Source organism: Homo sapiens, chromosome 6, assembly GCF_000001405.40.
Source record: "Homo sapiens chromosome 6, GRCh38.p14 Primary Assembly".
Classification (NCBI taxonomy): Eukaryota; Metazoa; Chordata; class Mammalia; order Primates; family Hominidae; genus Homo; species Homo sapiens.
In genome coordinates this window covers 47216470-47241965 of record NC_000006.12, presented here as the reverse complement: position 1 = coordinate 47241965, position 25496 = coordinate 47216470, and the positions used below count along the sequence as shown (strand labels likewise).

Genomic DNA, 25496 nt, shown 5'->3' with positions numbered 1-25496 from the left:
CACTTGGCAATTGACAATTTAGATTTAAGTGTTGGTGCTGTTCCCTACTTATGCAATGGAAGCACCTCCTTGCTTCATGTACTAAAGTCTGGGCTGTGCAGGAGAAGAAGAAAGAAGGAAAGAAAACAAGAGGTTTTAACTCAACAATTAGAAGCCCAGGAAAAGTTTGGGGAATTTTTCTCTTAAAGTTACTTGACTCTTGGCCCTTCTCTTTAATTTTTTAAAATAATGTTTTAAGAGAAGACTTACGAAGCAAAGAAAATTTGGAAGCACATTACAACAAATAATAAATCTACCATCTAGATTCAATTGTTATTCACATTTTGGCATATTTGCTTTATCTATGTATGTATACGTTTCCAGTCCATATTCCCATTTCGAAGACTTTCTCTAAATTTCTTATAACTGATAATCCTTCTTTCAAGCATTTAGAAATCAGCATTTTTCCATTTGCCTCTTAAGATTTTTGTTTGCAAAAAAAAAATTGGGTACATTTGGGTTCTGCTTGCCAAGACCCCTTACTCTGGATTGAATTGAACAAGAATTCACACTCAGAAGAATAATTTTAAAATCATTGTCTCTCATCATCTGAAACTTTTTTTTTAGGGTGATGTATTTGTTTTTATTTTTTAAGGGAGAAATCATTATATACAAGTATTTTACAGTGTCCGAACTTAGGAATTGAATAGATTCAGATAAATTGTTTTGTGATGAGGCTGGTAACCTCATTATATGAACCCTTATTTATATCTGAAATCCTGGAACCACATAGATTTGAATAAGAAAGCATTTCTTATTATCTGAATTCCTCTTCTCTAAAGACCACATAGATTCAGATATCAAGAAATACTTTTCTGGCAAAGAAAATATGCCTTTTTTTCCTCCCAGAGCCCATCTTATATGCCTGTATAGGCCTATAGAAGGTCTTGAAATCTAATTTGATTTTGATTATGTGGGCAGCTGGGAGAGCAGGGGAAACAGGCTTGAGATAATATCATAATTCTTAAATAGTTGTAATTTTATATTTATTCGCGACTAGAATTCCTTTGAGATAAACCTTTAGTAGAAATTGAATTTGTTTGTTTGTTTTTTTAACCAGCCACTTGTCTGTTGGGATCTGAAATATTTTCAATAGAAAACAAAGTTATTGGCTACAGTTGAGGTATCTGGTATTCACAGAATCTCTCATATTTATCTTAGCGCAGTCATCCAGCTGGAGTGTAAGTCTGCCATTGAGTCCCAGGTACTTGCAGATCTCAACCTCTACCCACTTCACTCTAGCGGAGGGGCTCGGGCAATGCCCTGTGGTCATGTGATCGCTTGTAATCAGTTTACAGGGTTTGTCAATTTTCTCTAAATGCTGTGGGGTCCAGACAGGGAAGTGACATGGCAGCAAAGAGGGTAACTTTGAAACTAGACAGACCTGGTCTTGAATCCTGGTTCTATGGCTTGGGGCAAGTTATTACCTCTTAGAGCCTCAGTTTCCTCATCTGTAAAATGGGGCTGATACAACTTCCTTAGCAGCAAACGAATCACAGATATTTTCTGCTGAATCACCTAGCACAGTATTGGCAATGGCTTATTTCTTCAGGTCTCTTTTTGTTACCTCATATGGAAAAGCAGTAAGTTTCAGTTAGATTTAGCAAATGGGCTTTTAAAAACCATTATTAAAGTGAGAGATTTTCACAAATGTAACATAGAACTCTTCCTTCTTTCTAAGTGTTGAATGAGGTCTGGAGGGAAAATTAAATCAAAACAGCGACTTTACTGTAAGGAGCTTTCTGCTGGGGACTATCAGGCATATCTAGTTATATTAGGGAAAAGGGGCCTGGTGGTATTGAACTGGGTAGTGTCAGGAGCCAAGGGGTTAAATGGAACCATTTTAGCAGGCTGGCAAAGAGCATCCAGGCTGGGCAATTAATGCTTCATTTCAGGGGGTCGCTGATGCATCAAAGTCATTAATTAGTTTTATGAAAACAGATTGTGCAACCACAGGGAGATTGTAATTGGGTAGTAATTGAAAATAACTTTGTGGTAAACTTTCGTTGAGCAGGTAGTTCAGGTGGGGGTAACTTGGAAGGGGAAAGAGAATTGGAGTGGGGGATTAGGGCATGAGGAGAATGAAATAGCAACAGTAAGACAAGCAATAAATAAGACATAATTTGAATGAAAGGAACACAGAAGTGACCTGGTCTAACCTATTTAGGTTAGAAGTGAGACCACAGGTCTGATGAGGGAAGTGGTTTTCCTAGTGCCACACAGCTAGTTAGTGTTATGTCTTCTCTCTTTTCTTGCAATGCTTTTTCCAGGATTTTCATGACTTTGATTTTTAGGAGCTGACTATGGGGAACATGAAGTACATGCCACACAGATGGCAGTTGAGGCTGGAGTTCTCGCCTATTCCTGCTCTCAGAGTCTACCCAAGAATGCTGCCAGATCTTGCTGCCTCGAAATCTTATTTCATTTATCTACCACCCTTGTCATGAATAAAATTTGGAAGGATTTTCCTTTACCATCCATGGCTCTGCCATCCCCGGGGCTAGGGGAATACTGCAACCTCCACCAGTGTGTCATCTCAGGAAAGGTCAGTCAACAGGGAAGTGATTTTTCAGTTTGATATTAGAAGTGGAGAATTATTTTTGGGCTTCAGTTTCCTTTTTTTTTTTTTTTTTTTTTTTTTGAGATGGAGTCTTGCTCTGTTGCCCAGGCTGGAGTGCAGGGGCGTGATCTCGCCTCACTGCAACCTCCGCCTCCCCAGTTCAAGCAATCCTCCTGCCTCAGCCTCCTGAGCAGCTGGGATTACAGGCATGTGCCACCATGCCCGGCTAATTTTTGTAGTTTTAGTAGAGACAGGGTTTCGCTATGTTGACCAGGCTGGTCTTGAACTCCTGACCTACAGTGATCTGCCCATTTGGCCTCCCAAAGTGTTGGGATTACAGGTGTAAGCCACTGCGCCCAGCCTCAGTTTCCCATTTTGATTTGGTTAAGCATCCAGAGTGGGTACTTCAGTTTTTTAGAAGTCTGCTTGGTGCAGGAATGTAGGGTTGGCAAGGACACAGCTGGAAATGGGGAAAGGCAATGATGACAGTCATGGTTCATTGTGGTACAATCCAGATACAAGTTAAATCATTATTCTCATAAACACTGCTACCAAACTCAGTAGCCCAGAGATGTTCAGATTCCCAAAGCAGTAGTCTGTTTACCTAATCCATTTGGATGGTTCCTTGTACTCAGTGGTAGAGGTGCTCGGAAAGGAAAATTGTCAGCAGCAGAGCTTTAGGTGTGACTCAGCCTTGAGTGAGTTGAACCATTTATCTTTCTTCCCTTATCAGTTTGGACTAATAAGTATCTGGAAGGACTAAGTGTGTTTGCATGGAAACTAATCAGAAGGACATTTGGAACTTGTTTGGCTGAAAGAAATGCCATGCTCTTGAAGTTCACAAAATAGAATTGTTCTCTTTTGGGCTGCTTTGGGAGCCCCCTACCATTTTGGTCTATTTACTGTCCCCACCTCATTTCTCACATGAGTCTTCCAAGTTAGGATTATGTCATGGCAGTAGGCAAAAAGAACTGTAGTTTTCAAGTTTCTCCAAAGGAGCTTCAAATAAGTGACAGATACATTGCCTTTACAGGCCACGTTTTCTTAATATCTGCCTTATTGAAATAAGCTGGGGCATGTATGAATGCCGTGTCCACAAACATTTCACAAAAGTATAGAGAGGAGCTCAGCCACATTGATAATCTTCCTGTTACCCTGTTTCTTGGCTACCTATATAAATAAGAGCTGCTACAGCCACAACATTTTCAAGGTAGCAGAAGGAAAATATACTTATCGGTAGTGACTGCTTTTAAAAACAACATTTATTGATTTTCTAGCTGTCAAAGTTAATATATCTTTTTTTCTTTCTTTTTTTTTGAGACAGAGTCTCACTCCGTCGTCCAGGCTGGAGGGCAGTGGCACGATCTTGGCTCACTGCAACCTCCACCTCCCTGGTTCAAGCGATTCTCCTGCCTCAGACTCCCAAGTAGTTGGGATTACAGGCGCCTGCCACCACGCCTGGCTCATTTTTGTATTTTTAGTGGAGACAGGGTTTCACCATGTTGCCCAGGCTTGTCTTGAACTCCTGACCTCAAGTGACCCACCCACCTTGGCCTCCCAAAGTGCTAGTATTATAGGTCAACTGGTTATGGTCAACTGAAATGGGAGGATGTATGTATAAAATATTAAATGGAACAAAAAAAAATAGGTGTGAGTCACCGTGCCCAGCCTAATATATCTTTACAGAGAATTTGGAAAACTCAAAGAACCTTAGGAAATAAATTATTTTATTTTATAAGTATCTTGGTAAGTTTATGCTCAAAGTTTTTATAAGAGGATCCTCTTCTCTGGAAATATGGCTTTCTTGTTTAGAGTATTTGTTTTCTCTTTAGTATCTAAATCTTATTGTAGGTGTTCTTCATTGGCTATAAACTCAGAATACTGAACCATAAACTTTCAGAATTAATAAAACAAGGAATTAATTTATTTCACATATTCCGATGACTCACTGTTCTGATTAGAAAGCAGAAGTAACACAATGCCTAGTACGGTAGCAGTACTGCAAACCGGCTTTGATGGATATTGTATATATTATGGTAAAGCACGGAAAGAAATTTCTATGAGCATTTTTTTTTCTTTTGGGAAAAAGTGAAAACAACTTTAGATGAAGTCAAAATGCAACCAGCTACGGTTGCACAAAGTGAGAGATACTTATAGTTAGTAACTGAGTAGATTTTCTGGAAAGATGATTTTTAAATGGTCTCTGGCTTTAGTGATGCTTGTTAGCTCTGCTGTGATGCTAATAGCATTTGTAGGGGCATTTTCATATTCACCTGACTCATTGTTAATTACAGGAGAGCATCAGTTCAGCATTCTGTCTTTCCAATTATGTCGGAAATCATGTGCTTAAGTTTTACTAATAGGACCTTTTGGTGAAATCGGGGGGGGAAATTAAACATTTCAAGTTTTCAAATGAATTTAGGAAACAGGTGAGTGGACTTTTTGCTCATTGGCATGTGATTTGTGGGTGGAAATTTCCTTTTAAGCAAGAACAGTGTACTATATTGACTGACCATGTCTTCCAAGGTATTGTCCCTGAGAACCAGGATGTAGACAAGTGTTCTTAGTCTAACTGAGTGAATTAAAAAAGTGTGTTGGCGTGAATGGCCATGTGCATTTTCAAGGAGGAGGGGCATGCGCCAGGGCCTATGGAATTAACATTTTACAAGCATATACGTAACATTTGTCTGTAGGTCAGAAAGGGACTGCTAGGTGTGCATGTTTCCCAAGTCTGAAACTTGCCCTGGAAGCAGCAGCAGGGTGTGGGTGGTGGTTCAGAGGAAAAACGCTGTTGGAACATTAGACATGTGCAGTAATCAGTTATCTTCACAATCTGCAATCAGTTGCAAGAATTTCTCAGGCCTTAAAATTTGTAAAAGAAGCAGTTGTGTTTGCTTTGTGCCTTATATAACTATCCCACGTAATACTTTGAAATATCAATGTCTTCGTTGAAAAGCTTGAAAACATTTTACTTGAAGTGTGTGAGTGAAGGGATGAGGATTCTAAGGAGTGGTGATTAACAGCTTGGGGAGAGTGCCCATCATTCCCTGAACCCTGCTCTGTGTGATCTGGCCAGCTGGCTCCCAGGTTTTTTTATCCATGCCGGAAGAGCCAATAAAAAGATAAAGTCAATTACTAGGAGAGGCCACAAGTGCCTGCCAGAGTTCTGATGTATTTTCTCAAATGAAAGGGCCAAATAGAGATGTCAAGCAGGCCTGAGTTGAGCACTGGCTTTCTGCCAGTAGCTGTGTGCCCTCTTTGGGCCGCAGTCACTTTACTGGTAAAATGAAGTCACATCACCTATCACTTCCCCTTCTCTCCACTGCACACCCCCAGTACAAGCCATAGTCATACTGTATGTAGCCACTGTAGGAGCGTCCTAACTGCTCTCCCTACTTTGAATCTTGCCTCCCTAAAATCCATTCTCTACCCACCAGCCAGAGTGGTGGTGAAGCTCACCATCTTTATCTGAAACCATCTTGTGTGTTTGTTATTGTCTCTCTGACCTCCCCACTCCAGAATGCAATCTTCACAGTCTCTGTTCTATCCTTTTGGTCATTACTCTCCTCCTAGCCACTGACACCTCTCATTTTCTCCTGTTCTCATTCTTAATTTTAGCAGTTTTTTTCCTGAGCTAGTTTGAAATGGGAGTCAGAAAACCTGGGGTCTAGTTTTAGTTCTGTGACTTCCTTGTTGGCCCTTAGTTAAGAAAGTCACTTCACTTCTCCAGGCCCCAGTTTCCTTCCCTGTGAAGCTGAGTGTAAGAGTCAGCAAGCACTGCAGTAACAAAGGACCGCAGACTGCATGGCTTAAACAACAGAAATTGGTCTTCTCACAATTCTGGAGCCTCAGAAGGCCAAGACCAAGGTGTCTTCTGAGGTCTCTCTCTTGGCTTGCAGATGGCTGCCTTATCACCATGTCTTCACTGTGTCTTCCCTCTGTGTGCGTCTGTGTCCTCATCGCTTCTTTTTATTAAAGACACCAGTTATATCGGAGTGTAGCCAACCCTAAAGACCTCATTTTACTGTAATTACCTCTTTAAAGGCCCTCTCTCACAGTAGTCGCATTCTGAAGTACTGGGGGTCAGGGCTTCAACATGGAGGTGGCATAATTCATTCAGCTCATAATACTAAATTATATCTAAGACTCCTTTCAGCTCTACAAAATTATATTTTAAATCGGGGATCTTTCTCCTTACACCCATGTTCCCTTCTACTCCCCTGAGATAATAGCTTGGTTCATATGCCTCCCCGTTTTTAGTACTCATGCATATCCTCACTGTATTTTTGAAGGGTTTAAAAGTCTGTGTATGTGTCTAGCAATCATATAAATAAGTTAAGGTCAACTGAAGTGGGAGGATGTATATATAAAATGTTAAATGGAACAAAAAAAATAGCCTCTGAGGAGGGATTTTAATTTTACTGTTTTTTTTTCTATATATAATAAAAAAAAATTTTCCCTCCTACAGCTGGAAACTGACAAACTAGCTCTCCCGATGAGCCCCAGCCCGCTTAGCCCGAGCCCCATCCCCAGCCCCAACGCGAAACTTGAGAATTCCGCTCTCCTGACGGTGGAGCCTTCCCCACAGGACAAGAACAAGGGCTTCTTCGTGGATGAGTCGGAGCCCCTTCTCCGCTGTGACTCTACATCCAGCGGCTCCTCCGCGCTGAGCAGGAACGGTTCCTTTATTACCAAAGGTACGGGCATCGCAGCAGACCTCACACACGCACTTAAACCCCCCAAAGAGCCCCTGGGATTCGTCCCTCCCCGTCCACAGTCCAGTTGTAGCTGAGAGTTGAGTCATCTGAATTACCTGCCCAGGAAGACCAGTCCAAAACTTCAAGATACGCTGGCCCGAGAGTAACCTCGCCATTGGCTGGCGAAGACACGCCTCCAAAATCTTTGCAGCTCGCACTGCCCGGTGGAGAGCTATCGGCCACCCTTTATCCTCATGATGCTATCAAATGTGTGTTTCGGGGAAGGCCTGATAAAATGTAGTCTGGCAAGATTTTTGAAAATTATTTACCAAGCTTGCTGTATCCAAAGATTTAAAGTTGAACTTATCTTGAGAGTCAGAAGTACAGGTTTTAGGCCGTGCGCAGCAGCTCACGCCTGTAATCCGAGCACTTTGGAAGGCCGAGGTGGGCGGATCACTTGAAGCCAGGAGTTAGAGATGAGCCTGGCCAACATGGTGAAACCCCATCTCTACTAAAAAAAAAGAAAAATTAGCCCGCTGTAGTTCCAGCTACTCAGAGGCTGAGGCAAAAGAATCACTTGAACCTGAGACGCGGAGGCTGCAGTGAGCTGAGATTGTGCCACTGTACTCCAGACTGGGTGACAAGAGCAAAACTTTGTCCCAAAAAAAAGAAAACTACAGGTTTTAGTGACTTAAAAATACCCTAAAATTCACTTTGTTAAACTACATTGCAAATACCAATATTTTAAACATTATGGATTGGTAGTTTTGGCAAAGAATTTGCAACTTTTAATTTTTAATATCGGGGTAGGGAATTAGCATACACTATTTATGACAGTTTTTAAAGAAATTTTCTAGTTTTGGGTAATTCCAGTTATATTTTAGTGAAAGGGTTATATTTGATATTTTACGTATTTATAAAATGTTATATTTACATATTTATAATTTGTGTACTTTATATATTTATATTAATCTATTTTACATTTACATAAAATATTTATATTTTAGTTTATATTTTATGTTATATAATATATTTTAGAAAAAGTGCTTTATAATAGTAATAAAAGTTATAGTTCCTCATCCCAATGTAAGGTATGACCTGAGAAGAAATCATATTTTCTTATTTATGTGCTTTTACTCTCTCAGCAGTTTAGTTCTAAAATATTACAATGTAATCAGAAAGTCACATAAGTAGACTACATTGTCTTGGAATTTTTGATCATTTGGAAAGGGGTGGGCCTATGTATATCTTAGTTTAGTAAACACATTTCAGATAGGGAAAGCAGTAAAGGTTTTTTAGTTTTTTGTTTTTGTTTCTTTGGTTTCTTTAAGTATCTCACCATTCACCTTCTGAATTCTAAAATAATTTAGAAGTTACTTAAGTCTAGGCAAATGTCACATTAATGATAACTCAGCAAGCCATTCAAGCAAGACCTTGTCTGATCTCTACCAGGCAAATCTTGTTTGCTATCTTACACGTGCAACACAAGTAAAAACTCTTGTGTTGTTTCGAATGTGCCAGAGGATCACTCACTCTCTCACTGTAATGGAGGATGGAGAATAATAGGCTGGGGGGGACATAGATGTCTCTCTCTCTAGGACCCTGCTCTCCTTCCTCCAGGCCTTGCCAGTACAGTCACCTTACAGCTGTCTTTGCTTCCCTCTCTTCTCTGCAGAAAAGAAGGACACAGTGTTGCGGCAGGTACGCCTGGACCCCTGTGACTTGCAGCCTATCTTTGATGACATGCTCCACTTTCTAAATCCTGAGGAGCTGCGGGTGATTGAAGAGATTCCCCAGGCTGAGGACAAACTAGACCGGCTATTCGAAATTATTGGAGTCAAGAGCCAGGAAGCCAGCCAGACCCTCCTGGACTCTGTTTATAGCCATCTTCCTGACCTGCTGTAGAACATAGGGATACTGCATTCTGGAAATTACTCAATTTAGTGGCAGGGTGGTTTTTTAATTTTCTTCTGTTTCTGATTTTTGTTGTTTGGGGTGTGTGTGTGTGTTTGTGTGTGTGTGTGTGTGTGTGTGTGTGTGTGTGTTTAACAGAGAATATGGCCAGTGCTTGAGTTCTTTCTCCTTCTCTCTCTCTCTTTTTTTTTTAAATAACTCTTCTGGGAAGTTGGTTTATAAGCCTTTGCCAGGTGTAACTGTTGTGAAATACCCACCACTAAAGTTTTTTAAGTTCCATATTTTCTCCATTTTGCCTTCTTATGTATTTTCAAGATTATTCTGTGCACTTTAAATTTACTTAACTTACCATAAATGCAGTGTGACTTTTCCCACACACTGGATTGTGAGGCTCTTAACTTCTTAAAAGTATAATGGCATCTTGTGAATCCTATAAGCAGTCTTTATGTCTCTTAACATTCACACCTACTTTTTAAAAACAAATATTATTACTATTTTTATTATTGTTTGTCCTTTATAAATTTTCTTAAAGATTAAGAAAATTTAAGACCCCATTGAGTTACTGTAATGCAATTCAACTTTGAGTTATCTTTTAAATATGTCTTGTATAGTTCATATTCATGGCTGAAACTTGACCACACTATTGCTGATTGTATGGTTTTCACCTGGACACCGTGTAGAATGCTTGATTACTTGTACTCTTCTTATGCTAATATGCTCTGGGCTGGAGAAATGAAATCCTCAAGCCATCAGGATTTGCTATTTAAGTGGCTTGACAACTGGGCCACCAAAGAACTTGAACTTCACCTTTTAGGATTTGAGCTGTTCTGGAACACATTGCTGCACTTTGGAAAGTCAAAATCAAGTGCCAGTGGCGCCCTTTCCATAGAGAATTTGCCCAGCTTTGCTTTAAAAGATGTCTTGTTTTTTATATACACATAATCAATAGGTCCAATCTGCTCTCAAGGCCTTGGTCCTGGTGGGATTCCTTCACCAATTACTTTAATTAAAAATGGCTGCAACTGTAAGAACCCTTGTCTGATATATTTGCAACTATGCTCCCATTTACAAATGTACCTTCTAATGCTCAGTTGCCAGGTTCCAATGCAAAGGTGGCGTGGACTCCCTTTGTGTGGGTGGGGTTTGTGGGTAGTGGTGAAGGACCGATATCAGAAAAATGCCTTCAAGTGTACTAATTTATTAATAAACATTAGGTGTTTGTTACTTAAGTAGTCCGAGTATATTTAATCGTTGAATTTCTTGCTTTGTACATGTCCTCTAGTTGTGACTCTTTGATTAGTCTTTTGCAAAAGTATGTGTGCTCTAAAAACCTCAGCTATTCTAATCTGTAAATCGTGGAAATTAGCAAAGATTTCAGGCAGGGCATCCACTTCCATTTTCTCACTGAAAGAGGAACTTAAAATTGCTAAGGTCTGGTTGTTGGAATTCTGTAGAGCCACAGTTCCCAAGCAAAGGGAGACATGCAATGAATATGATATGATATATGATATGCTATAATGTATTCTACAATTCTATAGATTTGTGTTTGGAAAGGTACCTGGAGGTTCGTAGGGAAGGACTTTAGTGAAAACTACCAAGCACTTCCTAGTCTTTTGGATTAAGTCTGAGAATTCAGTTTTTGAGATTGTCCTTATTATAGGAAATGGGTAGATACCTCATTGTTCCTGAATAAGTTCAGAGGGCTCTCATGGTCTTGAGGCAGGGTGAGATCTCATGTTGATAGAATATATTGTAGCATATCATATATCATATCATATTCATTGCATGTTTCCCTTTGCTTGGGAACCGTGGCTCTACAGAATTCCAACAACCAGAACCTTAGCAATTTTAAGTTCCTCTTTCAGTGAGAAACTGGAAGTGGATGCCCTGCCCGAACATTTGGACACCCACGTCAGCGACATTAAAGGGTTTTTCTGGTTTCATCCACTTCCACATGGTTGGTTTCTAGAGAACTATCCTGGTATTTAATTACACTGGTTCTTACACCAGGTTTCCCCGCCTTTTGTCAATAAAAGACAGGAACTCTTATCAGGAAGGAAAGCAAACTAGAATGGGTCACAGATGGTAGTGGAGGAGACAGCGTTTGCATTTCAGAGGATCTCAGAACTGCCACTAATTTCATGTGGGGGTAGAAAACACAAAGAATGAATGGTTATTATGATTAAGTTTGTGGGTTATTTGTACCTTGTGTCTTGGGATGCTTTCGTTAATAACTCACATTTACACAGGTTTATACTTTGCAAAGTGATTTTTGTATTACCTTATTGAATCCTCACAACTATAAGGTAGGTACTATTATTGTGTCCATTTTATAGATTTAAAAACAGGCTTATAAAGGCTAAAGAACTTGTGTAAGGCCTATAGCAAAGTTGTAGAGATCAGACTTGAATCCATGTCTTCTGACTGTCTGAATCCAAGACTGACTGTTCCATGTATTTAGGACCAGTGACCGGAAATTCCTTGTTGGCTGAAATAGTGGGCAGAGATCACAGTGATGAAATTTATTTGTCAGTCAGTACTTGTGAAAATATTGGAATGAGGTGACATCTGTTGATGATCCATAGGGAAGGAACATAGGAGATGTGGTTAAATGAAAGCTTAATATTGAACTAACATGATATATAGCTTTTCTAAAAAGAATGGAACCTCCAGCCGCATTATTAAAAAATCAGAAGTTCTGATCAGAGCCGATGATAGTGTCATTTGTATACTGTGTGGCACACTTTAGAGCTTTCCTCTAGCTTTGGCCTGTCTTACTGTGAGGAGTATGGCTGAAGTGAAAGGTTTCCAGTGTGTCGTGGGGACATAGGGGGATACCAGGAAGAGTAAGAAACAGAATCAGGAGCAACTGTTGGCAAATCTAAGCCTGACAATGAAGACCAGGCAACAGGAGAAAGATTAGCTTCAGTTATTTGAAGGGCTAAGGAAGAGATGATGTATTTTTCTCTAGAGGATAATATACTTTCCTCTAGGCTGATGTAGGCTAAGTGCAATTAGACTGAGCTGCTTTTCAAATAAGAGAATGAGTCCTGCTCTGGGAAAAAGTTGGGCCTGCATCAGTGGTTCTCAAACTTTCATGTAAATAAGAATCATCTGGGAATAAGCAGTCAATTAAAAAGGCAGATTCGGAGAGAATTCAATTCAGGTTTGTGGTGAATTCCAGAATGAGTTTCCTACACTTACAGAAAGTGCTTTAGATCCTTGCCACTGTGGATGAGGACCGGCAGTATCCATAATACTAGGAAGCATTGTGTTAGGAATGCAGAATTTGAGGCCACTGTGTTGTGCTCCCTAAACTTGAATATGCAACTGAAACACCTGGGTATCTTAAAGGCAGATTCGGTTTTAATTGTTCTGTGGGACTGGGCTGAGGCTGCATTTCTTTCTTTCTTTCTTTCTTTTTTATTTTTTTTGAGACGGAGTCTCTCACTCTGGAGTGCAGTGGCAACGATCTCGGCTCATTGCAACCTCCGCCTCCCAGGTTCAAGCAATTCTGCCTCAGCCTCCCAAGTAGCTGGGACTACAGGCACCCGCCACCACATCTGGCTACTTTTTTTTGTATTTTTAGTAGAGACGGGGTTTCCCTATGTTGGCCAGGCTGGGCTCGAACTCCTGACCTTGTGATTCGCCCGTCTCGGCCTCCCAAAGTGCTGGGATTACAGGCGTGAGCCACCATGCCCAGCCTGAGGCTGCATTTCTAACAAGCTCCTGGGTGATGTGGATGCTCCCGGTCATGAGATAACACTGGGTAGCCTGAAACAGGCCAATTATGCCTCAGTTTCATGCAAAGGGTAGCACTAATATGGGAGATTATACCACTTCCATGTGAGAGAAGTAAACAAATTCTGATGACCCAACGAGATTTCTAGAACCAGACAATCTTGGGCAAATTCTACAGTAGTGGGTCTTAATTCTGACTACACATTGAAATCAGCGGGAAAACTTTGAGAGACCCAATGCCCAGGCCATATGCAAGATCAACAATGTCAGAATCACAGGAGATAGGACTCAGGCAGCAGCACTTTTTTTTAAATTTTAAATTTTAAATTTTTTTTTATTTGGGGGGAAGCTTTAAAAAAAGGTTTACTTTAGGTTCAGGGGTCCATGTGCAGGTTGTATGTATATATATGTGTGTGTGTGTGTGTGTGTGTGTGTGTGTGTGTAAACTTGTCACAGGAGTTTATTGTACAGATTATTTTGTCACCCAAATATTATACTAAGCCTAGTATCTAATAGTTATTTTTTTCTGATGCTCTCCCCTGGCCACCATCCAACCTCAAATAGGCCCCAATGTCTTGTTCCCCTCTTTGTGTCCATGTGTTCTCATCATTTAACTTCCACTTATAAGTGAGAACATGCAGTGTTTGGCTTTCTGTTCCTGCATTAGTTTACAAAGGATGATGGCCTCCAGCTCCATCCGTGTTCCTGCAAAGGACATGATCTCATCCTTTTTTATGGCTGTATAGTATTCCATGGTACCACATTCCGTATGTACCACATTTTCTTTATCCAGTTTACCATACGTGGACATTTAGTTGATTCCATGTCTTTGCTACTGTGAGTAGTGCTGCAATGAACATATGCATGCATGTGTCTTTATGGTAGAATGGTTTATATTCCTTTGGGCATATACCCAGTAATGGGATTGAGCAGCATTTTTTAAAGCTCTCCAGGAGATCCCAGTGTATAGTCAGCTTGGAGAACGATGTATTTAAAGCTTAGGAACAGAGACTTTCTCAAGCCTCACCCAAGATCTGATGAACAAACCTTCCAGGGAGTTAACCTGAAGATCTGTAATTGAAAAGTGATTTTGCTATAGCCAGTCCTACTTGACTCTGCATGTTTGCTTTAGGACCCATAACCTTACAGTAAGATTTATGTGATTATGCTAAGAATTGATACACACCAAGCACTAATGAGGCAACACCTTAAAGCTCAATTGCATGGATGAACCTACCTGCAAGTACAGTAATCAATTCTTCATGGTTTTTAGCATAATGTATAGGGTATTATTAGTCAAGAATATTTGGGAAATGATGTTATTCTGATTTAAGTTACTATATTTATATTTGATAGAATGCCAATTTTCAAAGAGATACAGTGAGATATAATGAGTGATAAAACTGCCCTGACTATGTTAGAGTCTCAGACTGCCCCATTTGGAGCAGCAATCTCGTACAATACTGCAGATGTAACAGGTACCTATGCTGGTCTTTGACTTAAGAAAAAAGATGTGATCTCTTGTTGAGCAGAACTGAGGTCCTTACCTTGGAAGGAGCTTCGGACATCACCTGGAGAACCCTGCGGTTTTCTGGTAGGGGAGCTAGACTCACATCTGCTAGTTAGTGGTGGAGCCTGGTCACCCTAGCACCTGTCAGCACTCTTTTATGATTCCAATCTATCTCTTTTTGCTTCTTTTCTTACTACCTTTCTTGAAAGTAAGTAGAAAATGAGATCCACTCATCTGAGTAAGGATTGAGTTTTAAAAAGGCTTTTATCGTACTGGACTTTGAAGTAGCTGTTTACATGAAACACATTTGGATTTTGGAGTCTCGGATTTCCAATATAGATATTCATAGAATAGCTTGCCAGGATTCATAAGAAACATGCCAATGGGCGCCTCTAGGAAGAAAAATGGGCTAGCAAGGAGGTAGGAGGCAAAGAAGGACACGTTCTTGTCATGATTTGTTCTTTTGAGCATTTTGAGTAGTACATCATTTGTATATATTATTGAATTCAAAAAGTTGTAAATAAAAACTGTAGAATGTTTCTATGGCATCCAGGAAATGTGCACTTGATGGTAAGAGTCATATGCTCTAGACTTAAAATGCTAGCAATAGCTTTGTGAGGAGCGTTTTGCTAAAATCTGCAAAGGGAATCAGCCTCTTGCCCTGCTCTCCAGGAGAAGTGGCCACCTTCCCCATCCCTCCACAACCTCTTTATGAGAATTTGACATCCTTTTCTTGGGCTTAGATCACAAACACAAAAGTAATACAAAGTTCAAATGGAGAGAATTCAAAGTTCGAAATTTAGGGAGATGGGGCAGAGTAGCTAATTTCTGGCCAAAACATCTTTTTATATTTCTTAGCACAGAAATCTCTCATAATCAGGCCGGGCACAGTGGCTCATGCCTGTAATCCCAGCGCTTTGGGAGGCCGAGGCAGGTGCATCACCTGAGGTGACCAACATGGAAAAACCTTCTCTCTACTAAAAATACAAAATTAGCTGGGCCTGGTGGCTCATGCCTGTAATCCCAGCTACTTGGGAGGCTGAGGTGGGAGAATCGCTTGAACCTGGGAGGTAGGAGGTTGCGGTGAGCCTAGATCATGCCATTGCACTCCAGCCTGGACAACAAGTGTGAAACTCTGTCTAAAAAAAAAAAAAAAAGACATCTCTCATAATCAATGTCTCTGTGAGGAAAAATATCAAAGATTTCTTAAGGATCCTTCAGCAGTTCATCTCTCCAAAGGAGATACTTCTGTTCTGCACTGGCACTGTCTCATTGTCACTCATCTACTGCTTTATCCACAGCAACATGCCAAACAGGGAATCTCATGGGGAAGGAGAAGGCAGAAAGGCAGCTCATTTCCAAGAATCCTATGACAATTGTTTCTCACTGCTTCCAGAAACTTCGAACAGCCAATTTCACAGCATTGTTTTTTTTTTTGTTGTTGTTGCTGTTTAAATACAGTGCACTCACCCACAGAAACATTCATTTCATCACTCCACTCATCTATCCATGAAATATTTGAGCAACTACCAGGCACTATGTTAGAAGCTAGAAGTACAAAGAAGAATTTGATACAAGATTGTAACTACCAATGAGAACAAGGCATTAGTTCACTGCTGTATTCTCAGCATCTAGACCCATGCCTGGAACATGGTAGGTGTTCTGTCACTGCAATGTTGAATAAATAAATGAATGCATGGTCCTGGCTTCAAGAATTCACAACTTAGAAAGAGAAACAGATTTATGAACATCATCAAATGTATCCGAGTGAAGTGATAGTAATATGAAGAGAATATTAGGAAAGCCAGAAACTAAATATGAATCAAGGAAAAATATTGCAAGATCCCTACTGTAAACCTTCTTTCTTATTAATTTTAAAGAAAATTGCATCAAAAACAAAGGGCTGACAGTTGCAGTTCCATGCATTTCAAAGCTTGAGGAAGGAAGATGAAAAGGGGAAGAAAACAAAAGGAAAAATACAGGTATACAGTAGACATGATTTTATAAGCAAGGATTTTGAATCATTTATAAATTGGTTGTTCCACCATTTCCCAGGCTTATTGTTTACTATCATTACAAGACAAGACGTGAGGCCCAGTCATGCTACTCCTTTGTGCATATCACATACTCAGAGGGTAGAAAGGATATATGTCCCCTCATGGAAAGACTCTTCCTATAAAGTATTCAATGCACTTGACATTATTCACTCTTCAATCTTAACCTGAATCTTATTATGTGGGGTCTGTTATTTCCATTCTACTAATGAGGAATCTGAGGCGAAGAGAGACAGCGACTTTCCTAAAGTCACACAGCTAGTAAAGGGTATAACCAGGAAGGCTTGTTACAGAGATGAGTGAGCCAGGCATGGTGGTAAATCCTGGAGACAAAATGGCAAATAAAGTGGATCTGATTCCTGTTTTCCTAGAGCCTCTCACCTGGACTCAACTGAAATTGAATTTTGAGGTAGGCAGGCTTTTTCCTTAGTAAAAGATTTTGTTCTTTTAAATAATTTAAGACACACAAGTTTCAAAAATATCACAGTGAGTTTCTATTTCCTTCACCTAGCTTTTTATTTTAATAGTTTCTCTATTCTTCACATAGCTTTTTCTAAGAATAAATATCTTGTGTAGCCATAGACATTATCAAAATCAGAAAATTGACATTGGTACAATATTACTAACTGAAACTACAGAACATAGTTCATGTTAGTTTTTAACCTGTACTTTTTTGGGGGTGGATATGAAATGTTATCACATGTATTGGTTCACTTGGTAACCACCACCATAATCGGAATATGGAACCATTTCTTCACACAAAGAAACCTCCTTCTGCTAACTTTATATTCATACCTTACTTTCAACCGTAAACCCTGGCAACTGTGTCCATCACTATAGTTTTGTGATTTAGAGAATGTTAAATAAATGGAATCATAAAGGATATAGCCTTCTGAGATTGACCTTATTTCACTTGGCGTAATTCCCTTGAGATCGGACCACAATTGTTTTGCATATCAGTACTCCTTATTCACAATTTTGAAATTCTTCACCTGGATGGGGCTGGAGAGAACTTGATGCTTTCCCCAGAATGAAGAGTCCCAATTTATATATCAGTGTTAGGAAGAAAACAAAACAAATACTTAAGGTGAGATTTTCATGGACTTCAAAAAAAAAACAAACAACTTTTATTTTAAGTTCAGGGGTGCATGTGCAGGTTTGTTAAATAGGTAAACTTGTGTCATGGGGTATGTTGTACAGATTATTTCATCACCCACGTATTAAGCCTATTATCCATTAGTTATTTTTCCTGATCCTCTCCCTCCTCCCACCCTCCAACCTCCAATAGGCCCCAATGTGTGTTGTTCTCCTCTATGCATCCATGTGTTCTTATCATTTAGCTCCACTTATAAGTGAGAACATGTGGTATTTAGTTTTCTGTTCCTGAAATCGTTTGCTAAGGATAATGGCATCCAGTTCCATCTATGTTCCTGCAAAGGAGATTATCTTGTTCTTTGTTGTGGCTGAATAGTATTCCATGGTATACATGTACCACATTTTCTTTTTCTTTTCTTTTTTTTTTCTATTGAGATGGAGTCTCGCTCTGTTGCCCAGGCTGGAGTGCAGTGGCATGATCTTGGCTCACCGGAACCTCCGCCTCCCAGGTTCAAGTGATTCTGCTGTCGCAGTCTCCCCTGAGTAGCTGAGATTACAGGTGTGTGCCACCATGCCTGGCTAATTTTTGTATTTTTAGTAGAGATGGGGTTTCACCATTTTGCCCAGGCTGGTCTTGAACTCCTGACCTCAAGTGATCTGCCCACCTTGGCCTCCCAAAGTGCTGGGATTACAGGCATGAGCTACTGTGCCTGGCCTTTATCATAGAATGATTTATATTCCTTGGGGGATATACTCAGTTATGGTATTACTGGGTCAAATTGTATTTCTGCTTTTAGGTCTTTTAGGAATCACCACACCAATTTCTACAGTGGTTGAACTAATTTACTCCAACCAACAATGTTTAAGCATTCCTTTTTCTCCACAACCTCACCAGCATCTGTTATTTTTTGACTTTTTTAATAATAGCCATTCTGACTGGTGTGAGATGGTATTTCATTGTGGTTTTGGTTAGCACTTCTCTAATCATCAGTTATGTTGTTGAACTTTTGTTCATATGATTGTTGGCTGCATGTATGTCTTCTTTTGAAAAGGGTCTGTTCATATCCTTTGCCCACTTCATAATGGGTTTTTTTTTCCTTGTAAATTTACAAAAACAGGAGCATAGATCAATGGAACAGAAGAGAGAACCGAGAAATAAGGCCACACACCTAAGACCATCTGATCTTGGACAAAGCTGACAAAAATAAGTAATGGGGAAAAGACTCCCTATCCAGTAGATGGTGCTGGGATAACTGACTAGCCATATGCAGAAGATTGAGGCTAGACCCCTTCCCCACACCATATACAGAAATCAACTCTAGATGCTTAAACACTTAAATGTGAAACCCAAAACTATAAAAACCCTAGAAGACAACATAGGCAATACCATTTTGGACATAAGAACAGGCAAAGATTGCACGGCAAAGATAAAAAAGGTAATTGCAACAAAAGCAAAAATTGACAAATGGGATCTAATTAAACTAAAGAGCATCTATACAGCAAAGGAAACTATCAACAGAGTAAAGAGACAACCTACAGAATGGAGGAAAATGTTTGCAAACTGTGAATTTGACAAAGGTCTAATTTCCAGCATCCATAAGGAACTTGAACAAATTTCATGGACTATTTTAAAAAGTGTGTCATTAATATAAAACTATTTATATTAGCAGTATTTAATCATTAACACCTGTAAAGAAAAAGAAAAATAGAAGGTAAATGTTCTTACTGAGATAGCAGAGCTTTAAGATTCATTTTCATTTTAAGTTTTATTTTTCCAGTGTATTAACATTCAGAGGTCTGTTATACTAACATTAATTATTAATGTTTTCATTTCCATAATAGTTAAGAGCTTTTTCAAGCACTCATGTCTGTAAAAAATATTTTAAAGTTTTTTTTTGTCGTAGCAGGAAAAAAATAGAAAAATATAGTTTGTTCTTTTTAATTGCTGAGTAGTATTCCATGGTAAGATGTACCATAGTTTCCTTGACCGTTCAAACATTGAAGGACATTTGGACTGTTTCCAGTTTCTGGCTATTATAAATAAAGCTATGAACATTCGTATACAGGTTTTTGTGCAGACCTACGTTTTCATTTCTTTAGGGCAAATACACCTGAGTTTTTTGGGGTGTATGTTTCATTTCTTTAGGGTAAATACACCTGAGTTAATTGTTGGGGAGTATGGTAAGTGTATGTTTAACTTTATAATAGACTGTCAAGCTGTTTTCACAGTAGTGGTACTATTGATATGGCTCCAATGGGTGGAGGAACACCAGGGGTCTTGTCTCCAGTCTAACTGGAAAAAACGACACAGACACACATGGAGTGGTTTTAAGGAGCGGAGAGTTTAGTAGGCAAGAAAGAAGGGAGAAGAAAGAAAGAAGCTCCTCTGTATAGAGACAGAGGGAGGGGGGCTCCAAAGCTGAGAGAGGGAACCCTAAGTGCCACGGATACCAGCCAGTTTTATGAGTAGGCTGGAGGAGGTGGTGTCTGATTTGCATAGGGCTCAGGGGATTGGTTTGACCAGGCATGTCATTCACGTAGCCGGTGAAAAAGCTGGCACTCTCACCCTAGCCTTTTAATATGCAAATGCAGGGCGTAATGATGTTCCACACACGTGGGGATAGGGGGGGTTGGGCGTGTTGCTAGGATCATGTGGGGCAAGGGCAAGAAGGCCGCGGGAATTGCCATGTTTGGGTGGACCCAGTTTCTAATGTCCTGTATTTGCATATGAAAGGTTGCCAGCCTGGCTCTAAGAGCTGCTTTAAAAACGAAAACTTCCCAAGGATCCCTTTTCCTCTCTATCTGCCTAAAATAATTTCTTAATAACTACTACAACAGTATTGTATGATATAATCCCATATCGATGTATAAGAGATTCACTTGCACTGTATCCATGCTAGTCTTTGGTATTGGCAATATTCTTTATTATAGTCATTCAACTAAGAGTGTAGTGGCACGAACTTAAATTTATGAAGTTATGGGCTGGGCGCAGTGTCTCACACCTGTAATCCCAGCACTTTGGGAGGCCAAAGCTGGAGGATTGCTCGAGTCTAGGAGTTCAAGACCAGCCTGTGCAACATGGCGAAATCCTGTCTTAACTAAAAATACGAAAAATTAGCTGGGCATGGTGGTGCATGCCTGTAGTCCCAGCTACTTGGGGGGCTAAGGTTCAAGGATCCGTGAACCTGGGAGGTCGAGGTTGCAGTGAGCTGAGATTGCACCACTGTACTCCAGCCTGGGCAACCGGAGTGAGCCCTTGCCTCAAAAAATAAAAAATAAAAAAGTTATGAAGACATGCAACTAAGTAAGAATTTAAAATTGAAAAGTGCTATCTCAGCCGGGTTTGGTGGCTTACGCCTGTAATCCCAGCACTTTGAGAAGCTGAGGCAGGCGGATCACCTGAGGTCAGAAGTTTGAGACCAGACTGGCCAATATGGTAAAACCTCATCTCTACTAAAAATACAAAAAAAATCTGGGTGTGATGGTGGACTGAGGCATGAGAATCGCTTGAACCTGGAGGCAGAGGTTGCAGTGAGGTGAGATTGTGCCACCACTCCAGCCTAGGAGACAGAGCCAGACTCTGTCTCAAAAAAAAAAAGAAAGAAAAAAGAAAAGTGCTATCTCTCTGATGCTTACTTCTATTTAATTGCTACAATTTCATTCTTATTTTCTTAAAAAAATTCACTTTACATGTGTTAAGAACACTTAACATGAGTCTACTTCCTTAAAATATTAAGTGTACAGTATAGTATTGTTGACCATAGACACAATGTTGTACTGTAGGTCTCTAGAACTTATTCATCTTGCTTAACTGAACCTTTAGGCCTGTTGATTATTAATTCCCCATTTCCCCTTGGAAACAGTATTCTACTCTTTGCTTTTATGAATTTGACGTTTTAGAGTCCTCATATAAATGGAATCATGCAGTATTTGTCTTTCTGTGACTATTTCACTTATCATAATGTCCTCAAGGTTTATCCAGGTTGTCGCACATTACAGAATTTTCTTCTTTTAAGGCTGAACAATATTCCATTGTCTATATATGCATTTTCTTTGTCTATTCATCTATCGGTGGACATTTAGGTTGTTTCTATATCCTGGCTATTGTATGAATAGTGCTACAATAAATATGGGAGCACTAATATCTCTTCAAGATCCTGATTTCAATACTTTTGGATAAAGACCCAGACGTGGGATTGTTGGATTACAATAGAACAATAGAACAATAGTTCTATTTTTAATTTTTGAGGAACTTCCATACTGTTTTCTATAGGGGTTGCATCATTTTGCATTCCTATCAATAGTGTAAAAGGGTTCCAATTTCTCCACATCCTCCTCAACAATTACCTTAAATTTTCCCATACCAATCATCTTTATTTCCTTCTCCTGCCTGATTGCCCTGGCCAGAACTTCCAACACTATGTTGAATAGGAGTGGTGAGAGAGGGCATCCCTGTCTTGTGCCAGTTTTCAAAGGGAATGCTTCCAGTTTTTGCCCATTCAGTATGATATTGGCTGTGGGTTTGTCATAGATAGCTCTTATTATTTTGAGATACGTCCCATCAATTCCTAATTTATTGAGAGGTTTTAGCATGAAGGGTTGTTGAATTTTGTCAAAGGCCTTTTCTGCATCTGTTGAGATAATCATATGGTTTTTGTCATTGGTTCTGTTTATATGCTGGATTACGTTTATTGATTTGTGTATGTTGAACCAGCCTTGCATCCCAGGGATGAAGCCCACTTGATCATGGTGGATAAGCTTTTGATGTGCTGCTGGATTCGGTTTGCAAATATTTTATTGAGGATTTTTGCATCGATGTTCATCAGGGATATTGGTCTAAAGTTGTCTTTTTTTGTTGTGTCTCTGCCATGCTTTGGTATCAGGATGATGCTGGCCTCATAAAATGAGTTATGGAGGATTCCCTCTTTTTCTATTGATTGGAATAGTTTCAGAAGGAATGGTACCAGCTCCTCCTTGTACCTCTGGTAGAGTTAGGCTGTGAATCCATCTGGTTGTGGACTTTTTTTGGTTGGTAAGCTATTAATTATTGCCTCAATTTCAGAGCCTGTTATTGGTCTATTCAGAGATTCAACTGCTTCCTGGTTTAGTCTTGGGAGGGTGTATGTGTCCAGGAATCTATCCATTTCTTCTAGATTTTCTAGTTTATTTGCGTAGAGATGTTTCTAATATTCTCTGATGGTAGTTTGTATTTCTGTGGGATCGGTGGTGATATCCCCTTTATCATTTTTTATTGCATCTATTTGATTCTTCTCTCTTTTCTTCTTTATTAGTCTTGCTAGCGGTCTATCAATTTCGTTGATCTTTTCAAAAAACCAGCTCCTGGATTCATTGATTTTTTGAAGGGTTTTTTGTGTCTCTATTTCCTTCAATTCTGCTCTAATCTTAGTTATTTCTTGCCTTCTGCCAGCTTTTGAATGTATTTGCTCTTGATTCTCCAGTTCTTTCAATTGTGATGTTAGGGTGTCAATTTTAGATCTTTCCTGTTTTCTGTTGTGGGCATTTAGTGCTATAAATTTCCCTCTACACACTGCTTCAAATGTGTCCCAGAGATTCTGGTATGTTGTGTCTTTGTTCTCGTTGGTTTCAAAGAACATCTTTATTTCTGCCTTCATTTTGTTATGTACCCAGTAGTCATTCAGGAGCAAGTTGTCCAGGGCAATCAGGCAGGAGAAGGAAATAAAGGGTATTCAATTAGGAAAAGAGGAAGTCAAATTGTCCCTGTTTGCAGATGACATGATTGTATATCTAGAAAACTTCATCGTCTCAGCCCAAAATCTCCTTAAGCTGATAGGCAACTTCAGCAAAGTCTCAATATACAAAATAAATGTGCAAAAATCACAAGCATTCTTATACACCAATAACAGACAAACAGAGAGCCAAATCATGAGTGAACTCCCATTCACAATTGCTTCAAAGAGAATAAAATACCTAGGAATCCAACTTACAAGGGACGTGAAGGACCTCTTCAAGGAGAACTACAAACCACTGCTCAGTGAAATAAAAGAGGATGCAAACAAATGGAAGAACATTCCATGCTCATGGGTAGGAAGAATCAATATCGTGAAAATGGCCATACTGCCCAAAGTAATTTATGGATTCAATGCCATCCCCATCAAGCTACCAATGACTTTCTTCACAGAATTGGAAAAAGCTACTTTAAAGTTCATATGGAACCAAAAAAGAGCCCACATCGCCAAGTCAATCCTAAGCCAAAAGAACAAAGCTGGAGGCATCACGCTACCTGACTTCAAACTATACTACAAGGCGACAGTAACCAAAACAGCATGGTACTGGTACCAAAGCAGAGATATAGACCAATAGAACAGAACAGAGCCCTCAGAAATAATGCCACATATCTACAACCATCTGATCTTTGACAAACCTGACAAAAACAAGAAATGGGGAAACAATTCCCTATTTAATAAATGGTGCTGGGAAAACTGGCTAGCCATATGTAGAAAGCTGAAACTGGATCCCTTCCTTACACCTTATACAAAAATTAATTCAAGATGTATTAAAGACTTAAATGTTAGACCTAAAACCATAAAAACCCTGGAAGAAAACCTCGGCAATACCATTCAGGACATAGGCATAGGCAAGGACTTCATGTCTAAAACACCAAAAGCAATGGTAACAAAAGACAAAATTGACAAATGGGATCTAATTAAACTAAAGAGCTTCTGTACAGCAAAAGAAACTACCATCAGAGTGAACAAGCAACCTACAGAATGGGAGAAAATTTTTGCAATCTACACATCTGACAAAGGGCTAATATCCAGAATCTACAATGAACTCAAATAAATTTACAAGAAAAAAACAAATAACCCCATCAAAAAGTAGGCAAAGGATATGAACAGACACTTCTCAAAAGAAGACATTTATGCAGCCAAAAGACACATGAAAAAATGCTCATCATCACTGGCCATCAGAGAAATGCAAATCAAAATCACAATGAGATACCATCTCATACCAGTTAAAATGGCAATCATTAAAAAGTCAGGAAACAACAGGTGCTGGAGAGGATGTGGAGAAATAGGAACACTTTTACACTGTTGGTGGGACTGTAGACTAGTTCAACCATTGTGGAAGTCAGTGTGGTGATTCCTCAGGGATCTAGAGCTAGAAATACCATTTGACCCAGCAATCCCATTACTGGGTATATACCCAAAGGATTACAAATCATGCTGCTATAAAGACATATGCACACGTATGATTATTGTGGCACTATTCACAATAGGAAAGACTTGGAACCAAGCCAAATGTCCAACAATGATAGACTGGATTAAGAAAATGTGGCACATATACACCATGGAATACTATGCAGCCATAAAATATGATGAGTTCATGTCCTTTGTAGGGACATGGATGAAGTTGGAAACCATCATTCTCAGCAAACTATCACAAGGACAAAAAGCTAAACACCGCATGTTCTCACTCATAGGTGGGAACTGAACAATGAGAACACATAGACACAGGAAGGGGGAACATCACACACCAGCGCCTGTTGTGGGGTCGGGGGAGAGGGGAGGGATAGCATTAGGAGCTATACCTAATGTTAAATGATGAGTTAATGGGTGCAGCACACCAACATGGCACATGTGTACGTATGTAACTAACCTGCACGTTGTGCACATGTACCCTAAAACTTAAAGTGTAATAAAACAAAAGACATTTAAAAAAATCATCTTTACAGATGCAAAGTGATATTTCCTTGTGGTTTTGATTTGCATTTTTCTGATGATTAATGACATTGAACATCTTTTCATATACCTGTTGACCATTTGTATGTCTTTAGAGAAATGCCTCTTCGAGTCTTTAGCCCATTTTTAAATTGGGATATTAGTATTTTTGCTCTTGAGTAGTAG

At 39.6% G+C, this 25496-nt stretch overlaps 1 protein-coding gene across 1 annotated transcript in view; it reads left to right on the top strand.

The window, feature by feature from the left end:
- Positions 1 to 10434, top strand: part of TNFRSF21 (TNF receptor superfamily member 21) — a 78374-nt gene extending 67940 nt beyond the window's left edge. Inside the window, exons 5-6 of the mRNA NM_014452.5 lie at positions 7068 to 7296; positions 8972 to 10434. Coding sequence (NP_055267.1) covers positions 7068 to 7296; positions 8972 to 9201 — 459 coding nt within the window. The 3' untranslated portion in view covers positions 9202 to 10434. The remainder of the gene's footprint in view (positions 1 to 7067; positions 7297 to 8971) is intronic.
- Positions 10435 to 25496: the final 15062 nt, after the last annotated feature.